This window comes from Homo sapiens, chromosome 12, assembly GCF_000001405.40.
Source record: "Homo sapiens chromosome 12, GRCh38.p14 Primary Assembly".
NCBI classification, from domain to species: Eukaryota; Metazoa; Chordata; class Mammalia; order Primates; family Hominidae; genus Homo; species Homo sapiens.
The window spans coordinates 104,840,969-104,868,533 of NC_000012.12; the positions used below are offsets into that span (position 1 = coordinate 104,840,969).

The following is a 27,565-nucleotide window of genomic DNA, read 5'->3' on the forward strand; positions in this document are numbered from 1 at the left end:
AAATCTTATACTAACATCTAAAATCTGAAAGTTTTATTTTAAAAACTCCTTATTAAGGAAAACTTCAAACATATACAAAAGTAGAATAGTATAAATTAACCCCACTCACTCTCAGGAACCATCACTCAGTTTCATCTATTATCAACTCATGACCAGTTTTACCCCTCCACTTCCACTTCCCCAGAAATCAAGTTATTTCATCTCTAAACATTTCAGTAAAACCTTACAATTTTAACTGATCACTGTTAGAAGTTGTGGGGTTCTGTGTTTCATTTTTAATTGTTTTTATTTTGGATACCTATGTCAGTGAGGAAACTGGTGTTTATTGAAGACAAGGAGAATAAAAAATCTAGGTTTTTTTTTTTAGTTCTTCTGTGATTTCTTGTACCTAAATACAGTTATAAAATTTTCTCCTCCTTCCACTGAAGGAGATGGAGCTGGCAAGATACAGTCATTCAGTTTTAACAAGCATTAATTGAGCACTAGGGACAGGGCTGGGTGCTGGAGATACAAAAAATGAGTAAACAAAGATCCTATTTCTAGAATGGATGAGACAGACACAATAAATATTATAGATAATGTCGATATAATATGGAAAATGCTAAGATAATGGTATTCACAGGGTACTTTGGGAAATAGAGAATAAGGCAATTCAGAGGAAATCAGATATTCAAGAAAGGCTTCCAGGAAGAGATGACATCTGAGTAAATGCAAAAGTGCTGCAAATGATTGTTACTATGTCATTATAATAAGTGCAATATGAAGGTTCCTTCAAATAGATTTCCTTCATTTAGTGGGTTGGGGAATTAGCAGGGAAGCTCCTCAAAGAGTATTAGTCTGTGAAGTGTGTAAAACAACAATAATTTATAAAACCAGCCACTATATCATGTCCTGTGGGGAATACCAAAGGGAAAGGCATGGTCTCAACCCTCAAGAAGGTAGGAATGTAGATGGGGAGAAATTCAGCATGCATTGGAAAACTGCACTATAGAATATCCAATCAAATTAGAGAGTTTAGGGATGAGAAGAGTGGTATGAACTAAAATATTTGAATAAGAGCTTGGACCAAGGTTTTGAATATAAATTTAACCTAGATCAAAAAAGGAAGACAATCTAGTAAAGAATATTAAAAGGTAAGTTTTAAGTGGTGAAAGATTCTTTGTCTTTAAGGAGTTATTTCTTCATTCTGTTCATCTTTGGATTGACTGAAGCCAGGTGGGGAAGGTCAAGATCTTTTACCTAAACCTTAAAGAGGTGTGTGTGTGCATGTGCTTATGTGTATGCTAGTGTCAGAACATGAAGATTTGATCTAAGAATTTACAACCTATCCTAAGCTATTCCATTAGAATAATGCACAATGTCAGGCTGCAAATGCAAAGGTCTACTCTGGCAGATATCTGATTCTTGGGGGAAAAATGAAAAGCAAAGCCCATAAAAATTAAAGTTATAAAAGACACATAAGAAAATTCAATCAACAGTATAGTTTCCAGCTGTCCTTCTGAAATCAATGACACACCATTTATAATACTATCTTTAATAACAACAACAATAGCGTCAGCTAACACTTATATAGCATCTGCTATAAACACACTTTATATAAATAATTCATTTAATCCTCAAAGCAGCCTGTCTGGTAGATAGTACAACCTCTCCCATTTTACAGAGGGGGTAACTGAGACACAGAGAGACTAATAATTACTCTTTTCTCCATTCTAGTTATTCAGCTTTCACTGGTGAGACTTTAGATCAGAGGTTTAAAAGGCATGTAGGTACACAGTGGATATATGTTGAAATCTATTTTTAATAAACTAGAAAAATTACTTATATCCTTCATTGACTTAAGTGAAATGCTGCATGATAGTATAATGGCACAGAACCATAAACATAAATGTCAAATAATCCATGAGGCTAAGAGGTAGAGTTGCAAATAGGAATATGCTCCAGCAATGGCTTGTTTATCAGCAAACCAAACACTAGTCTCTGAATATTTCCCCTGGGATTGAAGAATGCATCTTTTTCACAATAGTTACACAGAGAACAGCATCAAACATATATGACAATAAATGACCATATAATATACAGCAATAAAAGTAGCAATTTGCTATAAGTTTTGTCCCTACTGAACTATAGAAAAATATTACTCCCCAGGTAGAGGTACTTCCTTTTCCTTTCAAACTCTGAAAGCACTTCATATATAGCTAAACTCAGTACTTACATTATAGTACATTATAATTATTTTTTCGTATAGTGGCCTTCCCTCTAGACTACGAGACCTTGAGCACAGAGTCTGAACTTATTCCTCCTGGGATTTAAAAGCCATCCCTCCATCTAGTAGCATGAAGGTTTACTGGATGAATAAATTAATTAATTATTCGATAGGTGACTTTTAGTAAAATCTAAGGCACTATAAAGCATAATAGACAAGTTAAAAATGTCAAGTTGTAAGGGTTTTGTTATTTTAAGGATAGATTCTAATTTCCCTTGCATTTAAGGCCTTTTCTATACCAGCCCTAATCAACCTTCTTAACCTTATCTTGTCTGTTAGATCCTATATATGAATTATTTTATCTTGCACAAGCCCTGTGCTTTCTCACCTCTATGTTTTAACTCAGTAATCTCCAAAAAGCTTTAGATTATGCAGCTCTCTCAGTATAAAATATTTGGTATACTTATTTAACATTGTGCTAAAATATATTTATTACTAAGCAAACACAAAAATAGAAGAAAACAGATATTTTAAACAAATGAAGTTTTAATCTTTTCTTCCTCCACACGATGCATTGCTTTGTATGTATCCCACTTTGAAAATCGCTGATTTATATCAAAAGAACAAATATCATAGCATTTTGTGAGAATTAAATGAATCAATACATATAAAGCACTTATAATGCTTCTGAGCATATAGGAAACACTATACATGCCAACTAATTTCATTACCATCATTATCATCAATGTAGTTTCTTTTGAGTGTAATAATGTCTACATACCTACCTTCTAGCCTCCTTCCTACACGCCAAACTCCTTGAAAGCCAAATGATAAATGTTATCTCTTCAAAGAACTATTTGAATCCATCTCTTAAGGGATTAGGACTTATCGCACTGAAGAAGGTACCAAATCTACAAAGTTTAGCAAGAAGCCATGCCCAGGAAGCCAAAATAAAACTAGAACCATTGGTAAAAATTAAAGATGGGTTTATGGAAAATGATGCAAATGCAAAGAGATATGATTATTAGCTCCATGGGAAAGAAAATATAAGAAAAGTAAATATAGCCATAGTGAAATTATCTGACTCTATAATAAACAATGTTTACATGAACCTAATAATATAAATATTGATGACTAACACAAAATTGTTTATTGGTTTTAAGAAGATCAAATCAATATGAAGATGTTCAGTTGATTTTTGAAATGGTAAAATGTGTCATGTGTTTTTATATTTCCACAGTTGTACTTTTACAGCAGTCTCAGCATAAAAGAGATTTCAAGAAGTTTTAACTCTTACCTGTAACACAGCGCCAAATAAATACACTACTATGAAGATTATAGTTAAAGAAGTATGACCACTTTTCATCAAATGAATAGTGTAGAGGAAAATTAAATGTCCAGGAATCACTAAAAGCAGTAGAACTTGAGCAGACTTATTATTTACTCCTGTAATATAAAATGTAAAAGTAATTAAAACAAAATTATATTTTGGTTAATAATAGGTCATAGTTATTAAAATTTGAGGATTACTTTCTAGTTACTATACTTCATACTATCACATGAAATTTGATTGCCAAAAATAAATTTCAAGTAGTTACAATTCATTTCATTCTCTGAAATTTCCACTATATATGTTAATTAAATGAAAGGTGGTTGATAAAAACTTGCTATGAAGAACATCGGTCACACTTTAATATCTATCATAAAAACAGAGAAAATATAAAGTTCTTACAGTACAAGAATGTTTTAATTTTATTAATTTCTTTAGAATTCTATCACTGGTATTAAAAGGGTAGCCATTCTGATCTTCATTCAAAGGTCAATAATGGCCACGCACAGTGGCTCACACCTGTAATCCCAGAGCTTTAGGAGGCCAAGGTGGGAGGACTGCTTGAGGCCAGGAGTTCAAGACCAGCCTGGGCAACACAGTGAGACCTCATCTCTACAAAAAATAAAGATAAAAAAAAATTAGCCAAGCAAAGTGGCTCGTGCCTGTAGTCCCAGCTACTCAGAAGGCTGATGTGGGAGGATCACCTGAGCCCAGGAGTTTGAGGTGCAGTGAGCTGTGATGGTACCACTATTCTCCAGCCTGTGCAACAGAGCAAAGCCCTGTCTCAACAACAACAAAAAATTTTCTAAAACAAAAGTCAATAATCATACTTATTTTCATCAGGGAAAAAAAATGACAAGAATTGTGAAGTTTAAAATTGTGGTCTTAGTTTTTTGGTAATCATGTGCCTTTGTTTTTTCATAGCCACATAAATAATGCACTGTTCCTTGAAATCGAGTTTATCCCTTCTCAACTGGTTTGTTTGAGATCAAATGCCTACATTTAGAAAGGCCAAAATAATAATATAGATAAGATAGTACATCTGCCTCCCGAAATCACCTGGCAATTATTTTTTTTGTCTTTCACAAAATAAGGTTTCTCTTTCACAACTAATAAGCAAGATACCCCAGAAAGAGGCATCAAAGAGAAACATTATACAAAGATCCTCAGCAACTGCAGACTTGATACACATGCCTTTTCATTCACTGGGATTAGCTCTCAGAAATCGGAAAGTTGAGCAACTTTCACAAAACACATATTCAATAAATGTTGCCTGCCTATAATCTTAGAGAGCAATAGCCCTTGATCTAAAATATGCAAAAATCCATAAGCACATACCTGGACCAAAGAAAGTTCTAAATGGGTAGTAACAACCTTTGGGTTCATCAGGCAATTCTCCTGGAATGCTATGTAAATGGAGGTAGGTAGAAATCCTGCTAGCCTGAATGGCCACCAAATTACCACCAATACCTGAAACACAAGGAAAAACAAAGTAGCAATCCTCATATTTTAAACAATTTGCATAAATTCAACCAAAAGCAAGCCTCTTCGTGTAACATTCTGGGCCAATAAAACAAAATAAAGAGTTCTTCTGAAATGTTGATCTATTTAATGTTGAAGTAGACATTCCAAAGGCATAAAATCATTGTTAGATAAGATTAATTCATTATTTTTTCAAACTTGACTGGTATGCAAGCAGACCAGAGCAGGTAATTTTTAAAAGTCATTATCAAAACCAAGAAATAAAATTAGGTACCAAGATCCTTCATGTTTATCACCTTAATGACAGGGAAGATAAGCTGGACTTACTCAAATAGATAAAGCTAGAAACTTTTCTTCTCAGCTTACTAAAGAAATTGGTACAGAGCCACTGGAAAAAATACTCATTACCCTCTCACATACTCTGAGGCAGAAGAGTTGATGCCAGGATGTGAAATGAATTCCAAAGAGTGGTAAGCCCCTCCAAGGTAAGATATGATACTTAAATTGTTTCTCCTTTTGCAGAGTGCAGGAGAAAGAAGTTAAGCCATAAAAGTGAGTAAGAAGAAAACTGAAAAATTCAAATTCTTAACTGATGAGTGTAGGACTGCCTAAGATTGGGGACAGAGCAAGAGAATCTCAAACTCCATCCCATGCCTTTCACTAAGAAACATCAGCAACTGACTGTTGGGGGAAGAGCAAGAGCACAGATAGTTAAGCCTTCCAGGCTGCAGGCATACAGCCCTCCACGCTTCACACTTAGCACAGGGTAGCCGGAGCATGCCCATAAAGAAAGTTGAGGTTAGTGGTGAGCTGAGGGTAATGATAATAACCATAAAAAACAAACCCAGTTCAACTGCTGACTAGATTGACTCAATCCTCCATCCTAATGATCTAGCAGAAGAAAAGAACTCCCATTTCTAGGCATAAATAATATTTATCTCAGTCTCCAATGGTCTTGTATGTATAATGTCCATCATTCAATTAAAAAATTAAAAGACAGGAAAAAGCAATAAAGAATATAAACCATTGAAGGAGTTAAGAAGTCATCAGAGCCAGACCCAGAGATGAATCGGGTGTTGAAACCATCCAACAAGGAATTTAAAATAATTATAATTAATAAGTTAAAGGATCTAGTGGAAAAGATATACAAATATATTAAAAGACAGAGACATAAATTAAAAGTAAAAATATGGGAAAAGATATATCATGCAAACACTAAGGAAAAGAACGTAAGAGTGACTATATCAATATCAAGGGGGAAAAAAATGGCATTCTAACAGGGAATATTACCAAGGATAAAGACGAACATCGAATAAAGTTTAAGAAGGTCAAGACGGCCAGGAGCAGTGGCTCCCGCCTGTAATCCCAGCACTTTGGGGGGCCGAGGTGGGTGGATCACGAGGTTAGGAAATCAAGACCATGCTGGCCAACATGCTGAAACCCCGTCTCTACTAAAAAAAATACAAAAACTAGCTTGGTGTGGTGGCGCGTGCCTGTAATCCCAGCTACCCCGGAGGCTGAGGCAGGCGAATCACTTGAACCCTGGAGTTGGAGGTTGCAGTGAGCTGAGATCACACCACTGCACTCCAGCCTGACGACAGAGTGAGACTCTGTCTCAAAAAAAAAAAAAAAAAAAGTCAAGTCCTCAAAATACATCAAGAAGCAAAAACTGATAAATCCAAGAGGAAAAATAGACAAGTCTGTTTTTATACACAGAAAACACTGTATCTCATTCATTGAGTACACATATAGTAAGTCCTCACTTAATGTCATTGATAGATTCTTGGAAACAGACTGTAAGCGAAATGACATACAGCAGGTCCTAGAATAGCATCATTCAATGTCGTTGTATTATAACATTGATGAGAAAAAAGTTGGTTTTGTTATGTATTGTTTCACCTAAAGTCACAGTTTTAAGAACCTATTAATGATGTTAAGGGAGGACTTACTATATTTTAAAAATCAACAGTGATATAGAAGGCTTTAATAATACTATCAGCCAGTTTAATCTAAATTACATTTTTAGAACATACTAGCCAACAACAGCAGAATACATTTCACACATGCACTCATGGAACATTAATGAAGATAGACCATATTACAGGCCATAAGACAAGTCTCAATAAATTAGAAATGATTGGAACATGCAAAGTATGCTCTCTTTCCATAACAGAAAAGTAAGATATCTGAGGATTCCCCCAAATATCTGGAAAGTAAACAATACATTTCTAAATAACCCATAGTTCAAAGAAGAAAACACAAGGAAATTTGGAAAGTATTTTGAATTTACTACAAATGAAAACATAAAATATTGAGATATGTGGGAGGCACATAAAGCAGTACTTAGCAATTCATAGCATTACTTATATTAGGAAAGAAGAAAGCTTTCATATCAATGATCTAAGGCTCACATCTTAAGAACCAAGAAAAAAAATTAAACCAAAAGAAAGCATAAAGAGGGAATAAAATAAGAACAGAAATCAATGAAATAGAAAATAAAAACAGCAGAGAAAAATAAATGAAACAAAAAGCTGCTTCTTTGAATAGATAAAAAAGAGGTAGAAGACACAAATTCTAATATCAAGAATGAAAGAGAAGTCATCACTACAGTGCATGCATTAAAAGGATAATATAGGAATATCATAAATTTTAAAAATACTAAACAATTAGCAAATCAAATCCAGCAAAACATTTAATGTATATCATAACCAAATTTGATTTATCCTAGGAATGCAAGACTGATTTAATAGTTGGAAAGAAAGTAAAACAACTCAGCACATTAACAAATGAATGGAGGAAAAAATAATATAATTGGATGAATAAATGCAGAATAATTTATAAAATTTTATATTTATCATTAAAAACTCTTAGCAAACCAGGAATCAAGTAGGACTTCTTTAACTTGATAACCACACACACACACACACACACACACACCAAATCTGACATATGACAAAGGAGGAACTGCAAATCAATAAATAGTGCTATCGACTTTTAATAAGTAGTGCTAAGATAATTATTAATATGCCAAAAACCTATGCAATTTGATCCCCACTCATATCATGCACAAAAATAAATTCCACATGATTAAAGACCTCGTGCAAAAGAAAAACATATTAAGTTTTGCAAGATGATAACGAATGGATGAAAAGGATTTTTTAACAAAATAGATAAATTACACACCATAAAGGAAAATGTTGACAAATCTGACTACAGTGTAATTAAAACCTTCTGTTCATCAAAAGACATCATGGAGAAAGTGGAAAGACAAGCCACAGAGTGGAAGAATTTTTTTCAACACGTATAATTGTCAAAGGACTACTATCCAGAATATATAAAGAAATCCTACATGTAGAGAGAATCAGTAATTGCAGAAATGTGAATAAAAGCACAATAAATATCATTTCATACTCATCAGATTGGCAAACCTTTTAGCCTAAAAACATCAACTATTTATAACGACGTGCAGCAATGAGAACTCTTACACAAAGCTAGCAAGAGTGTCAACTGTTATAATCCCTTTTGAAAACATTTTGGCATTGTGTAATAAAGTTGTTGAGGCCAAGTGCAGTGGCTCACACCTGTAATCTCAGCCCTTTGGGAAACTGAGGCAGGAGAATCGCTTGAGCCTAGGCGTTTGAAACCAGCCTGGGCAATATAGTGAGACTTTGTCTCTACTAAAAATAAAAAAATTAGCTGGGTGTGCTGGTGCACACCTGTAGTTGCAGCTACTCAGAAGACTGAGGCAGGAGGATGGCTTGAGCCCAAGAGATTGAGGCTGCAGTGAGCCGTGGTCATGCCACTGCACTCCAGTCTGGGTGACAGAATAAGACCCTATCTTTAGTAAGTAAGTAAGTAAATAAATAAATAAAGTTGTTGATATGCATACTCTACAATCTAGCAATTCCACTCTTAGACAAATACTCAAATAAATGCCTACATATGTACAACAGTTCGAAGAATGAGCTCTGAAAGAAGTATGAAATCAAGAGAACTTGACATCTTAAATTTATGAAGGACTCCATTTAAATCATACCGAATACACTGGTGCAGGAGATTTTTGAAGAAGAATTAGAGAACAATTGCAACAGGATGTCTGAACCAGGTGCTAAAAGTTGAAAGCTTTGATGATATCACAGAGAATCAGAAGGCAGCAATCCTCTGGCCAGGTCTACTGTTGATCCAAGTTACCTGGAAGCAAAATAGATTTCCCTCCAAAAAAAAGTGATGAAACTACATTGTTTTTGTTTTGTTTTTATAATAGGATTATCTGGCTTGTGCTAGATTATTAATTCTTTGCTTAATAATTTAGGATGTGATGTTTAGGATCCAGTTTCTTATTAAGAAAAAACCCAGCCCTAGCAGCCTCCAAATCTACGCAGTTTAATCTTGGGCATACATAAATATTATACTCAGAAATAAAGATTGAGTAATTCTGTTCAAAGATATTTAGGTCAATATTACCTATATATCACCTATATATTGCCGGATACCTAGTGAAGTTTTGGCATTCGCTGCATTCTAATAATGTTAATTTGTTATGTGGAATAAGAATTTAGCATTTTTTAATTGCAGAAAAAATGTAAGTACAGAAACAGGAAAAGCATGAGCTTCCCCCCTTCTAAGCTGAGAGGTTGATCACTTTTTGTGCCAATGCACCAAAAATGAAGCAATTTAAACATTATTGTTTTAAGGCTGAAATTATAATGTCTTGATCTTAAACTAAATGTAGCTTCATGATTTCCTCATCACATCTCATTTAGTAAATACAAAATTCATTAAAGCAAATGCTTAAGATAATTTAAAATGCAGTTCATCATAAAAATGTTTAAAATATGTATCCCAGGGAGTTCTGAAAAAAATTCTAAAGGAAAATAAATTTCTTTAAAAATGTGTTTAAAAGTCACATGGACTAGATAGAATAATTAAGGCACATAAATGCAGAGCTGTGTTCTCTGTAACATTCTGACTGTGGCTCAAACTATGTGGGTTTTTCTGAAAACCACCTCAGTCACTTGCTATGACATCACTGATATTTAACTTCTTAGAGCTTCCATTTTCTAATCTGAAAATAAGGATAATACCTATCTCATAAGGATGCTGAGAGAATTAAATAAAATAATGCATACATGAAAGATGCTTAGCACAGTTTCTGGACATGGTAAAGGCTTAAAAAATGTTAAATATTATTGTTATTATCAATAATAAATTTATGTAAATAATGTGATTCTGACTTGGCATTTTCTTAATTATAGATCCTGACATTTTCTGGAGAATTCATTGGTCAGAGGATGTCCAGAAACTGTATAGATTTTCAATTCACAGACTATTTTGTTTTAAAATATATATATGAAAGAGAATAAATCATTTGGTGCCCATTCTATTTATTTATTTATTCATTTATTTTTATTTTTAGAGACAGGGTCTTGTTCTGTCTCACAGGCTGGAGTGCAGTTGCGTCATTGTGGCTCACTGCAACGTCGAACTCCTGAGCTCAAGTGATCCTCCTGCCTTAGCCGCTTGCGTAGCTGGGACTACAGGTATGCATCACAATGCCTAGCTAATTTTAAAAAAAATTTTTTTTAGAGATGGGGTCTCACTGTGTTGCCCAGGCTGGTCTTGAACTCCTGGGCTCAAGCAATCCTCCTGCCTAGGCCTCCCAAAACACTGGGATTCAGGCATGAGCCACCAAGCTTGGCTAGCACCCATATTTTAAACAATCAATTAAACTGCCTTCTGTTTACTCAATGAATTTTCTACTAGAAGTTAGAGGTGACTATCTTTTTTAAAGTCTGGATTCTCTAAATCTGAACTCACTTTCTAAAGAAAAGAATAGAGGCTGGTCCAATGGTAGTGGTTTATCAGAACTTATTCACATTAGTGTTGCTAAAGTTGGTATATGACTATCCACTGCTAAACTCACTGACATTAAAAAATAAAAAAATAAACAAACAATTAGAACATTGAATAATTAGCATGTATCGGTACTCATCTGATAATAGCATATAAACAAGGCCAGTAGCTTATACCTCTAAGTGAAGGTAAATGAAAATGTCTCAGAAATTGAAAGCGGCAAGAGTATTTAACTACATAATGCAAGCATTTTCACAAAAAGTTACTGGGTAAGCCAATAAGGGGTAAACTAGCAAAAACAGCTTTGTAATCTTTCTCTTTATAGTCACTCAAAAGGAAAAGAATCTAATATCAAAAATTATACTTAATGCAAAGCAGAAGATTACATTCAGATACGTTTTTCAATGATGGATATTTTCCATAGGAATGCATAAATTGCATTCCTCTTCAGTTACTCTGGGGATTCTCTTGGGGGTAATGTTCTATGTGGTATTTTATTGGATATGGAATGCTTCAATGCAAACACAGAAAGCATCTGCTATTAAGCCAACGTATATCTACTCTACAACTGCAACTTCTCTTGAGTTTGAAACAAAAAGCTACTGATGATTAATTGTAGCTCTCTTCTAAAACCCACAAATTTGTTGGTAAAACTTTATAAAACTACTTTTATCATTTCTTTGTTACCATATAACAGACTAAGATAATGATAATAAATATAAACAGTCTTATAAATAAACAGTTTATCACCTTATCACACTGTAGTCCAGGAAACACAGACATAACTGATGTTATAATTGTACCAAACTAAAAAGAAAATGAGTGAGGGACTTCAGAAAGACACTGATATCATTTTTCCAGATAAGGTGAATAAAATTTTTAAGTAAACAACATAATTATTGAAGGGGCTAATTAAAGTTTTAACCTCTCATGGTTTCATCATGATCATTGGTTATATTTTTAAACTATAACAAAATTATTACCTTAGAATAGTTTTCTTTAATGTCAAAAAATGCTTTCTTGCTATAATGACATACACTATGTTTCTACTAAAAGCTAGTCTGTCAACATTTCTTTTAAATTATTTAAATTCTTCAGGGACTAATTGCACTATTAAAGCCAGTGGAGAGCATCTAAAGATAGTCTCACACAAATTAAAAACATTAGTAAAAACAACTTGTCAATATACTAAATAATATGTGAGATTCCTCAGTATCCACAAGACAGAATTTTAAGTGCCTAATGCTTGAATAAGCTCAGTTGATGAAATAAAGTTTGAGAGTGGGAAGAAATTATCAGCAGGTTAATCTAGGGACTGTTTTAAAAATCCAAATTTATGTTTTGTTAAATTTAGAAATATATGTTTCCAGTAAATGTTTAGCACTAACGTCATGGAATATATTTCAAATTCTGTCAAGAATTCCTTTGCACATTCCGAAGGAAACCCAAAGCAAAAGTTCATTTTCTTAAGAAATAAATCTTTATAATCAACAGCATAATAAGTCTGGCCCCTTCCTATATCCCTACCTGTTTTCTCCATCTCTATGTACCTCTGCATTTTCACCTATCCTCCTCTCAAGACTTACCAGAACTCACATGCAGAAATTACTCTTTGAGTTTCAAGAAATGCAAAAAGATGGAGGAGAAATATTTTCCATTTTTTTCATATTTTTAAGAAGAAATGCATTGGAACACCCTTTTAGTGAAGAGCTTTTTATTTAAACAAGGGTAGGCATATTTACCTCCCTAGTCCCTAATCCATTACCTTTACCATTTCCCTCCCACTTGTAGACAAGGTGGTAAATGGCTGACGAACTCTCTAAATTTTCTACTTCCTTTACCATAGATCATGCATTATTTTTTAAATAAATGTATGTATGTATGTATGTATGTATGTATGTATGTATGTATGTATGTATTTAGAGACAGGGTCCTGCTCTGTTGCCTAGGTTGGAATGCAGTGGTGCAATCACGGCTCACCGCATCCTTGATCTCCTGGACTCAAGTGATCCTCCCACCTCAGCCTCCCAAGTAGATAGGACTTACGGGTGCATGTCACCATGCCTGGCTGATTTTTTTTTTTTTTTTTTTTTTTTTTTTAGTAGAACTGAGGTCTCACTATGTTGCCTTGGCTGGTCTCAAACTCCTGAGCTCACACAATCCCACCTCCTTGGCCTCCCAAAGTGCTGGGGTTATAGAAGTGAGCCAGCGTGCTCAGCCTAGATTATACATTCTTAACAGAGGTGAAAACTGGTTCTTGAGAGGAGAAAAAATATCACTCATTTTATTTATAAAGCCCATTTACACATACAGCACATAAATGGATAAACAGTAGATGTGCAAAATGAAAATTTCATGGGTAGGTATATTTAGAAAAAAAAATTGATTCAAACGGCTCCTTCAAAAGGTGATGATGAAAATAAAAGATTGAAAAACACCGCCGGCTGGGCGTGGTGGCTCACGCCTGTAATCCCAGCACTTTGGGAGGCCGAGGTGGGCGGATCACGAGGTCAGGAGATCAAGACCATCCTGGCTAACACGGTGAAACCCCGTCTCTACTAAAAATACAAAAAATTAGCCGGGCGTGGCGGCGGGCGACTGTAGCCCCAGCTACTCGGGAGGCTGAGGCAGGAGAATGGCGTGAACCTGGGAGGCGGAGCTTGCAGTGAGCCGAGATCGCGCCACTGCAGTCCAGCCTGGGCGAAAGAGCCAGACTCCGTCTCAAAAAAACAAAAAAAAAAAAACACCGCCTTAGATCAGAAATTCCCAACCAGTGTGCCTCACATGGGTTACAGCTGTGTCAAGATACTATCCTCCAAGCTCTTGGCATGGCTGCAGTTCCAAATCAGGTACCTCTGGTTACAAATGGCTGTTTTCTTCACCCTAGGGTGCCATCCAAATATTATTAATTTTTATGTGTGCCATGACATGAGAAAGATTAGAAAACACTGCCCTAGAGAAATGAATCTCTCTACTTTCCTGGGACAACTGAGGCTGTCAGTTGTAAGACCCTTCATCTTAGTCTCTATCCCCTAGCCCGTATCTGTGTATTTTCACCTGTCTTTCTTCAAGACTCCTTTTCTTACCACAGTGAGATAAGGGGTTATCCTTTCTTTCCAAGGCTACTGTGTGGCCCACCGTTTCATGGGCCTTGCTCCCTCACTATTCACCATCTCTCATGCATCCTTGATCTTTCCTTCTCTATTACTCCTTTGCCTCCTTGCCAACAAACGTACCCACATGTCTCTTCTCTTGGAAAAAGTTCCTCATCTGGACTTCTAAGTGTCATTCTAATTCTTTTCTTTTCATTGTCAATTAATTAATATGAAGTCTAAAAGTGCTACTTCTAAGATGTTTATTGTTTTATACTATTTAATAAATGCAAAAATAATATTTATAAAATACATGTAAGTTACAAAGACTTACACTACAAAAAAACACCCATGTACCCACCACTCAGTTTAAGAAAAGGAATTCATTATCTTTAGATTTGTAGTGCCCTCTGTGCTCTTCCTTAATCCCATATCCTTCCTTCGCTATCAGAGTGACTATGTTTGTGTTTTTTATTCTCGTGCTTTTCTCTGTGTTATTACTACATACATGTATATTCCTAAATACTATATAATTTGGTTTTACGTACCCTTGAACGTTATATAAATGGAATAATTTATCACATAAGTTTCTGAGATTCATCCTTGCTCTTCTGGGACATGTAATTAATCCATTTTTATTGTTAATAACATTCTATTGTAAGACTGTACTTTCATTTATCTAGTCTGCTACTCAACAAAACTGAACTCTCAAATGACTTCCTGATCACTGAATAAACAGTCCGTCTTGAATCCTTCTTGGCTACAATAACATAGCTTTCATCCTCCTTCTAACCAATGCATCTTGAATTCAGAAGCTATTTCAAGAGCAGATAAAAATAGAGACGATAAGGGAGAGGAAGTATGCGATTGGGGATATCTTGTTTGGGACACTGGGTAGCTAACACCGCTAACTGACACAGGAAACACCAAAGGGCAGGTTTGCGGGGAAGAGGATGAGTTCAGTTAGAAGCTTCAGATGTTCCATGTGGAAATATCCAATTTAAAGTATGGATCTAGAAAGGAACAGATGTGTCAAGACTAGGGATAAAGCCATGAAATGAGCCGTATGACAAGGACAAGTTGTTCTCAAACTTTTGCATATATCAAAATCAATTGATGAGTTCTACCTCCGAGCTGCTGATTCAGGCTTAAGCATCTGCATTTCTAATAAGATCCCAAGTGATATTGCTGGTCTGGGGACCACACTTTGAAAATCTCTGGATGAGACAATATTGCCCATAAAGAAGGTGAAAACTAAGAATAGAAGCTCAAGAGCAGGGTCTTGAAGAATACAAAGAGACAGGTAGAAAGAAGGAACCAGTGAAGGAAAATGAAAAAGAATTTTCAGAGAAGCGATGAGAATGGTAGAATTGCAAAAAGGGTATAGTAAATAGTATTAAACAACTGAATAGAATGAAGACTGAAAATAAGTTATTGGATAAAGTAATTAGGAGGTCACTGGAGAGCTTAGTAAAAGCAGTTTTGTAGAGTGAGAAGGAAGAAAAATACTATAATGAGTTGAAAAAATACAGACTACACTTGGGAAAGTTTGATTGTAGAGAGTAGAAGAGACAGAACAGAAGCTTGAGAAGGCAGAGCACTATGGGAAAGGTGACTTGGGATAAAAAACTTGTGCACATTTGTAAGCTAAAGGGAAAAGATGTAAGAGAGGAAGACATGGGAGATACCGGAAAAGTTAAAATAATTGATGGAGTAAGGCTCCCATTGGAATTGTAATGGAATAGTATCCAGGGCACAGGTCAACTAGTCAGTCCTGGGCAAAAGAATCAGCTCTTCTGAGATAGGGGTGAAAGAAGTTAAAAATAGACATTGTTAGAGATACGAACAGAGGTGAAGGGAAAGGAAAGAGCACGCTGGGAGAGACATGCCTAAAGACTCTATTTTCTCTGTAAGCCTGCCCTACAACAAACATTAAAGGAATTTCTCCAGGCAGAAGGAAAATAATACCAGATAAAAACCTGGATCTACACAAAGGAAAGAGTGCTGGAAATATAACTTTATATGATAAAATCTAAAAGATATATTTTTCATTTTTAGTCTCTTTTTAAAAATAACTGAAGCAAAAAATAATAACAATATATTACAGGATTTACTATTTCAAAAAAGTAAAACGTATTTCAAAAAAGAGTACATAAGTAAAACGTATTTCAAAAAAGAGTACATAAGAAAGAGGAGTGGTATTTCAAGTATAGTGACATAAGCTTCTTATCCTATATGTAAAGTGGTTTACTATTGTTTGAAAGTAGACTGTGATAAAAAAGATATAAGCTCTAAATCAATGGTTCTCAAAGTGTGGTCTAGGGGGTCTGAGGAAGGTTAGATCTAGAAATCCCAACACCTAGCTAACAGAAGTACCAGAAAGAGAGACTCACGTTTATGTTAGCATGATAAAGGCTTTAAGAAATCCCGTAGTAGGATGTGGAGAAATAGGAACATGTTTACACTGCTGGTGGGACTGTAAACTAGTTCAACCATTGTGGAAGACAGTGTGGCAATTCCTCAAGGATCTAGAACTAGAAATACCATTTGACCCAGCCATCCCATTACTGGGTATACACCCAAAGGATTATAAATCATGCTGCTATAAAGACACATGCACATGTATGTTTATTGAGGCACTATTCACAATAGCAAAGACTTGGAACCAACCCAAATTTGTCCATCAATGATAGACTGAATTAAGAAAATGTGGCACATATACACCATGGAATACTATGCAGCCATAAAAAAGGATGAGTTCATGTCCTTTGTAGGGACATGGATGAAGCTGGAAACCATCATTCTCAGCAAACTATCGCAAGGACAGAAAACCAAACACCGCATGTTCTCACTCATAGGAATTGAACAATGAGAACACTTGGACACAGGAAGGGGAACATCACACACCGAGGCCTGTTGTGGGGTGGGGGGAGGGGGGAGGGATAGCATTAGAAAATATACCTAATGTAAATGACGAGTTAATGGGTGCAGCACACCAATATGGCGCATGTATACATATGTAACAAACCTGCACGTTGTGCACATGTACCCTAGAACTTAAAGTATAATAAAAAGAAAATAAAAAAATAAAGAAGAATTAACACCAACAACAATAAAGAAATCTCGTAGTAAGCAAGTTTGTTTAACTTAATGTTTAACAAATTTGATTGACCACAGAACTCACTTTTCAAGTTATACTTATTAACATCTCACAGAACTAGTGTTACCATGAAATATATTTTGGAAAATGCCACTAGTTCTGAAAGACATTAATAAATATTAAAAAATATCCTAGTCACAATATGAACACAGATATGCCTTAAACAATGTATGCATTCTTGTAGCTAATAAAACATAAATTAGTAGCTGCATATTTTGAGAAAAAAAAAATCACAGGCTTTAGAATAGACCCGATCTGGTTTTCAATCGTGACTCACCACTTACAAGATAAGAGACCTTAGACAATCTACTGATCTTATTGTGAGGATTATACGACACAACATGTATAAAAAAAACCTGTAAGTTACCTGGTACATAGTGGTAGGTACTCACTAAATAGCAGATAATGATGATAATGATGAAGATAAACAAGAGTCCTTTAAATAGTACATTCCCCAACACATTTTAAATGAAATTCAATTCTCAAAAGTTCCATCTTATTTGAGGAGCATAGAGTAAACCATCTCTATTAATGTTTTTTAAAGAGTGGAATTTATAAGCTCATAGTGTACCACCATGCCCGGCTAATTTTTATAATTTTTGTGCAGACAGGGTTTGGTCGTGTTGCCCAGGCTGGTCTCAAACTTATGAGCTCAAGCGATCCACCTGCCTTGGCCTCCCAAAGTGCTGATAGCCAACTAAGAGGTTTACTTACTGAGATACTAAAAATATATTACTATGAATATCACACAATGCCACAGCACAGACATCCAAGGAGAGCATTTCAGTGAAGCTCTAGAATTGTTTCTTACTTAAGGTAAAACAACTGAAATATGCATTAAAGCCTTATAATAAAAGGGTTATTGTAATTTAAGTTAAATTTCTTACTGAAATGTTGTTTAATATAGCTCTAACAGTCATTATGAGTAATGTTTATGCTAATGAACTCATCCATTAATATTCACAGAAGAGGATCTGAAGAGGAGGGAGGAAAGCAGTAGTTATTCCAGGCAGTGAAAATTAGATGAATCTTTGTAGGGACAATATAAAAACCTAGTTAGAATGATAATGAAAAAATTGCGCATGTCTTTGGGAAACAATGAGTCCAACCATGTACAGAGGGCCTTGAAAGCTAGGCAGAAGAATTCAAATTTGATCTGATAGGCAGGGAAAAAAACCACTGTTAAATTCATCATCTTAGGACCCATGTAATAAAAACAATGTTTAAGAATGACTAGGCTATTAGTGACACTTAATTTGCCTCAAATAGAGAGTGAGTCAGGAAGCCTACTTTATTACTTGAATGATGGCTATATTGAGACATTAGGCTACAAGAGTAAGACATGCTTGTTATATAAATAAATGATTGAGCAAGTGAACTGTGTTAAAGGGCAAGCAGACAATGGCTTGGTCATTTTTCAGTCAAAGAGGATGAAGGACCAGGTTGAAATAGATGGTCCCACAATTTTATGTGTGGGTGACGGGGAGAATGGTGGCATGAAGAGAGAGACCTATAGGGAAAATTTGTTCATTGATATTCTAAAGTGATATAAAAATTAAAATATTCAGTAGAAATTTTAGACATGAAATTAGATTTTGAAGAACTTGCCTTTATATGTCATATATATTTTTTACATATATACATATATACATTTTTTTTGAGACAAGGTCTTGCTCTGTTGCCCAGGCTGGAGTGCAGTAGCGTGATCTTGGCTCACTGCAACCTCTGCCTCCCTCCCAGGCTCAGAAGGTCCTCTTGCTTCAGCCTCCCAAGTAGCTGGGACTACAGGCGTGTACCACCATGCCTGTAAAAATATAATTTTTATATTTTTTGTGCAGGCAGGGTTTGGTCATATTGCCCAGGCTGGTCTCAAACTCATGAGCTTGAACGATCCACTTGCCTTGGCCTCGCAAAGTACTGGGATTACAGGGATGAGCCACCGTGCCCAACTGACATATTTTCTTTTTACATAGATATGCAAAGTAAATTACATTAAATATGTAGTATATCCTGGGACATGTTTTTCCCCAAGTAGAATTACTTTTTAAATTATATTGATCTAGGCTGTACTTAAAATCTACTTTAGTGTTCAACAATGAGAACACATGGACACAGGGAGAACATCACACACCAGGGCCTGTCAGGTGGGGGGCAAGGGGAGGGAGAGCATTAGGACAAATAACTCATGCATGCGGGGCTTAAAAACTAGATGATGGGTTGATAGGTGCAGCAAACCACCATGGCAAATGTATACCTATGTAACAAACCTGCACGTTCTGCACATGTATCCCAGAACTTAAACTAAAAAAAAAAAAAAAAATCCACTTTAATGACAGTCACCCCAGAAGCCGGTAGACTGGATTAAAATGATCTTATTAAATGTAATTCATATATAAATGTCTGTGAATTTAAGTATTATAATTCCCATTTCATAGATAACAAAAAAATATACGACAGATTTTTAAAGGGATCAGCTGAGGACCAATAGATTTTTTTCTTTTATTTTTTTTTAAGACAGGGTCTCACTCTGTTTCCCAGGCTAGCATGCAGTGGCTTATTGTAGCCTCTAACTCCTGGGCTCAGGCAATCCTCCTGCCTCAGCCTCCTGAGGACATACCTGGGACTACAGGTGTGTGCCACCACATCTGGCTAATTTTTGAATTTTTTATAGAGATGGGGGTCTCACTATGTTGCCCTGGCCTCAAACCCCTAACCTCAAGCGACCCTCCTACCTAGGCCTCCCAAAGCACTGGGATTGCAGTCATGAGCCACTGTGCCCACCCCAGATTTTAATGAACTGAATGGATAAGCAATGTTGAAACCCAGCTGTCTCTAATTTATCCACAAAAATTGACAAAAGAAACAACAAAACAATATACAATAGCTGATAATCCCAATGTAAATAATAAACAAAATCTGAAATATATTTTGCCACATTAATCTTAAGTCAGGTATACCTGACTCTCAAACTAGTAGTTCATGATAAGATTAAGAAAGATTACTTTTCAGAAATGTATTCTGCCTGTTGAGACCTGGGAATGTAATTTTCACTGTGAGCAACAACTTGGGGTTGGAGGCAGAATGGTTGGGATGGGAGGACAGACCTCTTGAATCTGAGCCCTAAGACTTCTAATAGTACCTAAGACTAAGAGGATACGAAGATTTGATATTATCATGAAACAGTATATCTAATTCTTACCATTAATAACTGGCGTGTAAACAACAATCCCAACCAAGTTTGGGTCTGATACAGTTGTGTCCAGAATAAGGCCCCCAATGCTGAAAGAGATAAAATTATATAATTTAGAGAAGAGGGAAGAGAACATACTTGAAGTTATTCTGTACATACAGACACCCCTCCTTTTTAAAATAAAATATTCACACATTTTAAAAATAGAGCAAAAATAAAAATATTCAAAGTAAAAATCAATGTCAACAGTAAAATGTTGAAAATAAAACACGGCATAAGCTCTAGCCCCAAATTTCAGAATTCTGATGTCTAAGATATGCTACTTGTGAAAAGAAAAAGCATACGCTTTAAATGCATTAAAATGTCTTGAACAGTATACGAGAAATTATTAACCATGTCTATTTCTGGGGGTGAGGGTGACAGGGGACTGACGGTCATTTTATATCCTTCTGTGCTTATTAATTTTTTAAAACCATGCCATTGATCACTCTTATAATTTAAAAAATAATTTAAAAAAGAGTATGGTTTCATATTTGAAATAAAGCATAAAAGAGGTTATTTTTATTGTATTAAAACTAGATATTGTTAGGATGTGTCTTATTACTGGCAAATTAAAATAATGAGTTATAGCCACAGAAAGAGCTGATCTTGAGAACAGAAATCTGGAAAACTAACATATCGTTATATGGTAGCAAGCCATACACTCTCAATGTGTCAGTGGAACTTGGAGATTTTTCTAAGTTTCCAAGGCCATTATCAACTGGTTAACATCAGTTTCTGGGTCTGTGTAGTATAAAACATTGCCAGTCCTAATATTCCATGGGATCCTGTGCCCAAATCTTCCAGGAAAATGCCATCCACATTACAACAAAATGAACTACATGCTGTCACAGAATGGGATTGTCAAAATATCAGATCAAATGTTCTTACCTGATAGTTAACATTAGAAAATTATCAAATCTTTATTATTTTAATTCTTTAGTAAAATAAAGGAATTATGCCTTAATAGGCCTAAACTGTGGGCGTTCTCATTAAAGAGGTACACTGTAGAGTCCCAAAATAGTCCTCTTTAGAAATATTTTAACATTTTAAGCCCTAATTAAAAGAATAAAGTACATACTTCAAGAACAAACTAGTTCTGAGTCAAAAAATAAACCTCCCTGACAAAATATATAGATCATGTTGTGGATATAACATAACAATTGCTAAAAATACATTTTTTAGATTCCTGTTAAGCCCAGTGATAAAAGTTACTATAGAAAAAATTAGAAAAGACAAAATGAAGAAAGTAAAAACCAACCCTAGTTACACCATTGAGTTACACTGTTAGTATGCTGTTATATAGGCTTCTAGACTTTTTTTAACTTATTTTGTTACTTATTTAAATTGACAATAAAAATTGCACATATTTATCCTATACAACATGTTTTGAAATATGTATATATTGTAGAATGACTAAATTGAGCTAATTAACTTATGCATTACTTCACATACTTATCTTTTGTGGTGAGAACACCTATACAACATGTTTTGAAATATGTATATATTGTAGAATGACTAAATTGAGCTAATTAACTTATGCATTACTTCACATACTTATCTTTTGTGGTGAGAACACCTAAAATCTCTTGGCAATTTTGATGAATACAATACACTGTTATAAACTATCACCACCATGTTGTACAATAAATCTCTTGAATATGTTCCTGTAGTCTAACCAAAATTTTTAATCCACTGACCAACATCTCCGCAACCCAGCTTTTTTACTATATACATTTTTAAAAATAAAAATTAAATGATAAAAGTAGTTTTATTTGCTTTTATTAAATTTTATTTTTATCATATAGATGTGTGTCATTAAAAAAGTAAAAGTACAGCCAGCATGGTGGCTCATGCCTATAATCCCAGCACTCCGGGAGGCCGAAGTGAGAGGACTGCTTGAGACTAGCAGTTTAAGACCAGCCAGGTCAACATAGTGAGACCCTGTCTCTACAAAAGAGTAAAAATATTATCTGGGTGGGTGCATGCCTGTAGTCCCGGCTGTTCAAGAAACTGAGGCAGGAGGGTTGTTTGAGCCTAGGAGTTTGAGGCTGCAGTGAACTACAATCAAGCCACTGTGCTTCAGCTGGGGAAACACGGCGAGACACAATCTCTAAAAAGAAAAAAAAGAGGTATATAAAAGTACCATAAAGTTCATAATAAAATAATGGTCCCTAGCCCCACCTCCAGGTCCTTCTCTGTACTAGAAATTCTTTTTATCTTCTTTAGTAGTTTCTTATGGCATTTAGTTTTTCTAAATAACATGCTTATACTGCTATTTCTTCATATTAAATTTTAGACATTTAGCAAATGACTTCCTACTATGGCAGATGAGGATTTGACCTCTCTTACACTTCCCTCCCACTTTGATCCCTTCCCAAATCCCTTCCTCCTCCCATCCTGCTAATCTGGTTATAATTTCTGGTGAAATACTTAGGGTTGACTTTATTATAACAACAGAAATTTCATTACTCATAGCTGAGCCACAGAGTGTATTATTAGATATCCTCACGTACGCTTTTTGCTTTGCCTCATATTTTTCTTAACTTTTTAGGTACCTATTACTAATTCAACCTCACATGTGTAACTAAGTTTATGAAGTACCTTTCAATACAGTCAAACTCATCAATTCCACTTTTTTTTTTTTTTTCTTAGAGACCTCCCTCCTTAAGTCCCCTGTCCTCCTGCCAATCTGGATGGTTGCCTGTCTAGGCCTGATGTACAGCTGTCATCCTGTACCTTCCCTCCAATACCCCCTTGGATCCTGGTCTATGTACTATAACAAAAGCCCAGTATTTCATGGGATTCTGTTGCCTGAATCCTCCAGGAAAAAAGCAATCTACATTACAGAAAAATGAACCACATGCTGTCACAGAATAGATTTCTTCTTTCCTGTATCATCTTTCTTAATTTGTTTCCTAATTTTGATAGACCACACCTCCTTTCAGCTTTATACAAAGGGGTAGAGGGGCAGTAAATTCCATGAGATCCTGCCTGTCTGAAAATTTCTTTAGTCTTCTCTTACACGTGGTTGATATTGTGACTGTATTTTATGTTCAAAATAATTTTCTCTCAGAATTTCAAAGGAATCATTTTAGTGTTGCTACTGGACATCATTCTGGTTCCCAGTGCTTTATATGTAACTTATTTTTTCTCTGGAAACATTTGGGATTCATGATAATATGCTTTCACTTGGGTCCCACCTACTTTAATTTATTGCACTGGGTACTTAGCAGGCGCTTTCCATCAGGTAGCTCATGTTTTTCAGTTCTGGGAATTTTCTTGTATTATTTATTTGAGAATTTTCTCTCCTTATCATTCACCTCCTATTGTCTATCTCTTTGCTTCATGGTTTGCTTTTCAGGAGGGTTCCTCTACTTTATATTCCAACTCTTCTACATAATTTATTTCTGCCATTTATGTATTTTTTTAATTCCCAAGAGCTCTTTGTGTTTTTCAAATCTTCTTTTGCATTCTGTTCCTATATTATGAATATTATGCAATAGCTATTATGCAATAGTTTCTCTTATTTATCTGAGGATACTGATAAGAGTTTTCTGAAAGTACTGATGGTACTTTCCTTGAGTACTATTTTTTTTTCCCATCTGTCTTTTATGTTAGAGGCCTTTATGAAATGTCTAGCAATCCTTTACTGGCTGCCCTGTTTAAGGGGCACTGCAAGGCATACTTGGAACTCTCTGTGTACATGGGCAGAGTTTGTCAGCAAGTGGGACTCATGGAAGACAATCAGGTGGGTTTGTAGCTCTTTCATTAAAGGACTCACAAGGGTTAGTATCTGCAGATCTGATCTTTTGTGCTGGTAAGTTCCCCCACAAATGAATTATCTAATTTTTTGCCTGGGGGTAAAAGGCTGTCTCTCAGCATTATACAAAGAAAAGGAAGTGGGATAGGGTTCTCATTGTTCAGTAGACTTTTACTTAGTCTTGCTATTTGTCACACAGTGCTTGAGCCACATCCTCACATGTACAGATGTTTCTGAATCTAGAACCTCTCCGATTTAGCCTCTTGAGAGGTTATTCTTGTCTTCTGCTAGGGTGTGAGGGGGCAGTCACATGGGTGCTAAAGCTGGAGAAAGATTGTGGGGATCTAATTGCTCCTTACCTAAACTTTCAACCAATCTTCCTCATTGCAGCTTTCAGATGTACTTGATGCCTTTAATTCCTCTTTCTGGGTTTCTGAGACTTGCTTCTGATAGGCAGTTAGGTGTCAGCTTTTTTCATTCTGCTCATTCAGTTAACAACTCTTCATCTGATTCCTATCTTCCTAATGTTGTCTCTCACCTGCTGCCCTCTTTGCTCCTCCTCTGTCTTTGTGGTTTTATAGCATTTTTATTCTTTTACTGTCCTTTTAGTAATTTCAGGAAGGAAAAGAAACGTTTCTTAATCTAACATGTTTAATAGGAAATTCATACTCTTTTCTAGGTTGTTCTTCTCATCAGATGTATCATAAACTCTTTCCATAGCAATAGAAATGCTACAATGTTATTTTAATGGCTGATACTCCATTTTGTGACTATATAATAATTTATCTGATCAATACCGTATTGCAAGACCTTTATGTTGTTCTATTTATTTTTGTTATTAAAAACTCTGGGGTGATGAGGATGCTTGCAGCTAAATCTTTTACATATGTCCTTAATTACATCTTTAAGGTCATCAGAGTCCTAGATATGGAAGTAGCCAATGGAATATACATTTCTAAGGCTTTATGATACTCATCTGAGCAACTTAATACTCAGAGTAAGTAATGTCCTTGTCAGGTTAACATACACATACACACACAAAGACAAACACCACTAAATTTTACTCAATCTGGTAAGGCTTTGGAGAGAAGTTTGAAATTGGTAGCCACATGAGGTTCTTTACATCTACTGATTTCATTAATTATGCCTGTCATTTAGATCCCTTGTTATAATACCCGGGAGAATAATGAATTGGCTATATAAAATAATTAACCTAAGAAATAAAAACAGGCAATTCATTTATTTTAATATGCATGTACATATATGCTTATAGAAGACACACAAAGACAGACAGACGTACACACACACACACACACACACACACACACACACATATTTTAATACTAACCTACTTATAACCATAGCTGTTATGACAGGCTCCCAGCCTGAGTGGAGAACTGTTCTTGTGGCTGGATGTTTGGCAGCTATTATAATCCAAATAGGGGTTAGAGCCAAGAAAAATACACCAACTAATGGAGAAATGTAGTAATAGGTCTCTAAAATTAAAAAAAAAAAAAAAAAGAGAGACAACATTTAAATCTCTCTTCTATGTAGCAGATCTAAATTATCAAAGTTTACTAGAAGGTACGACACTATCAAACATATTAACATGCTATACATTTTCTATAAACTTCAAACAAATTTATAACTGTAAATAAGGTAAAAATATTAAACAATGTAACTGAAAAGTAACACATTAATTCAATAAACATTTACTAAAATAGTTACATAACCTACATGAAAATAGCATAATAACAATAACAACAAGAACAGTAACAGTAAAAAAGCTAACATTTATTGGGCTCCTACTATATACCAAGTACTATGCTAAATGCTTTACATTCATCATCTCATTTCATTGTCCCCACCAATATAAAATAGATACTGTCATTTCTATTTTATGAAGAAACTGAGGCTTAGAAACTTAAGAATACAGTGAGGAAATAGGGAGAGCCGGAAGAAAATATGTATCTGACACCAAAGTTAGTGCTCTTAACTCTAAAGGTAAATAGGATATTATTTTTGTCCATAGGGATCTTATAGTACAGGCATTCCATAAAATATTGGCTGCCTACTGATAATAGATATCCAAGCTCCAAAATGAAATAGAAAAACTAGGTTTGATTCTCAATTCATATTTAATTCTAAATCTCCCTAGGGTTAAAAGTTGCATATCCCTTACTGAAAGTCTTATCATCTCAAGGCATTTTTTGGATAATATCATTTTAACTGATCAAAGTTTCATTATTATCAGAGATATTCCTGGCTTCTTCTCCATAACTCTAATTAATTTATTATGCAGAATAAGTACTTTTTAACTTAAAGGCAGAGTTTGCCTCGCAGTCCTATAGCCTACAGCCTTAGATTACTTAATCTAAGTCAAATGTTACTTAATATTTTGATCTTACAGAATGCTGCAACCCTTACCCCAACTCTTATCTTTGACTGAATTTTCTATTTTTTTTGCTTCTTAAGGTATTTAAAGATCTTCTCACCTATGACTAAAGATGCTTGAACTACATACAAACCCAAAATTTTTATTTTTTCCATATCATGTAGGAATAAACAATTATTATAGATATTAAAATAAAGCTAAACAAAGTTTACTCCTAAGCTTTTGTATGGATTTGCCATCACATCTTCTCACAGTCCTGTAGCCTACAGCCTTAGATTACTTAATCTAAGTCAAATGTTACTTAATTTTTTGATGTTACAGAATGCTACAACCCTTACCCCAACTCTTATCTTTGACTGAATTTTCTTTCTTTTGCTTCTTAAGATATTTAAAGATCTTCTCACCTATGACTAAAGATGCTTGAACTACATACAAATCCCAAATTTTTATTTCTTCCATATCATGTAGGAATAAGCAATTATTATAGATATTAAAATATAGCTAAACAAATTTTACTCCTAAGCTTTTGTATGGATTTGCCATCACATCTTTAAAATAATTATACTAATAAAATTTATTTTTATATTTTCTTCTATTTAAAGGAATATGACTAATGCTACATTGTGTCATTTTCTCCATGATTTTTTAAAAGATGAAAAAAACCTTTTATTTGTTGAATGGATTCACAGTTCTCCTTGTAAGCCAACAGATAAGGATAAATAACATCCCAGTTAGGAAGCATTTCAATCTACTAAAACAACTAAGGTTGCCAATAATTTCTTTAATAGAACGAAATAGAAAACAAAATGCATTGAAAACCACTAAACACAAATGAAAAGAACTATTCTGCTAGGTCAGATCATCTTAGTATTTTATTCTCAGGTCAAGAGAGGAGCACCCTGCTAGACTTTAAAGAAGCTATCCTCAACATTAAATCTCTGGAAGGACATCTGAAGCTGAAAAACGCACCCACCACACCCACCCCAGAATCACTGCCCTGAATTTTCAAAGAGGAGAAAAAATACCTTAGGAAAGAAACTAAAAATAATGAGCAG

At 34.9% G+C, this 27,565-nt stretch overlaps 1 protein-coding gene across 22 annotated transcripts in view, besides 1 other annotated feature; it reads right to left on the reverse strand.

The window, feature by feature from the left end:
- SLC41A2 (solute carrier family 41 member 2) overlaps nucleotides 1-27,565 on the reverse strand; it is a 156,946-nt gene that overhangs the window by 39,168 nt on the left and 90,213 nt on the right. For 18 of the 22 annotated variants that reach the window (NM_001387125.1, NM_001352169.2, XM_047429648.1 and 15 more), the window contains 4 exons: nucleotides 25,464-25,611; nucleotides 20,323-20,402; nucleotides 4,875-5,006; nucleotides 3,504-3,652 (listed from right to left, as the gene is read on the reverse strand). In NM_001387125.1, coding sequence (NP_001374054.1) covers nucleotides 3,504-3,652; nucleotides 4,875-5,006; nucleotides 20,323-20,402; nucleotides 25,464-25,611 — 509 coding nt within the window. Of the gene's footprint in view, nucleotides 1-3,503; nucleotides 3,653-4,874; nucleotides 5,007-20,322; nucleotides 20,403-22,877; nucleotides 25,612-27,565 lie in introns of those variants that run through there. The other 4 variants (NM_001387131.1, NM_001387133.1, NM_001387132.1 and 1 more) reach the window with 2 other exon arrangements.
- Nucleotides 24,360-24,489: an enhancer, noted in NCBI's record as "active region_6937". NCBI's record gives its function as "activates an Ori minimal core promoter by ATAC-STARR-seq in GM12878 lymphoblastoid cells {active_cell/tissue: GM12878}" and the evidence as "EXISTENCE:reporter gene assay evidence [ECO:0000049][PMID:35858748]".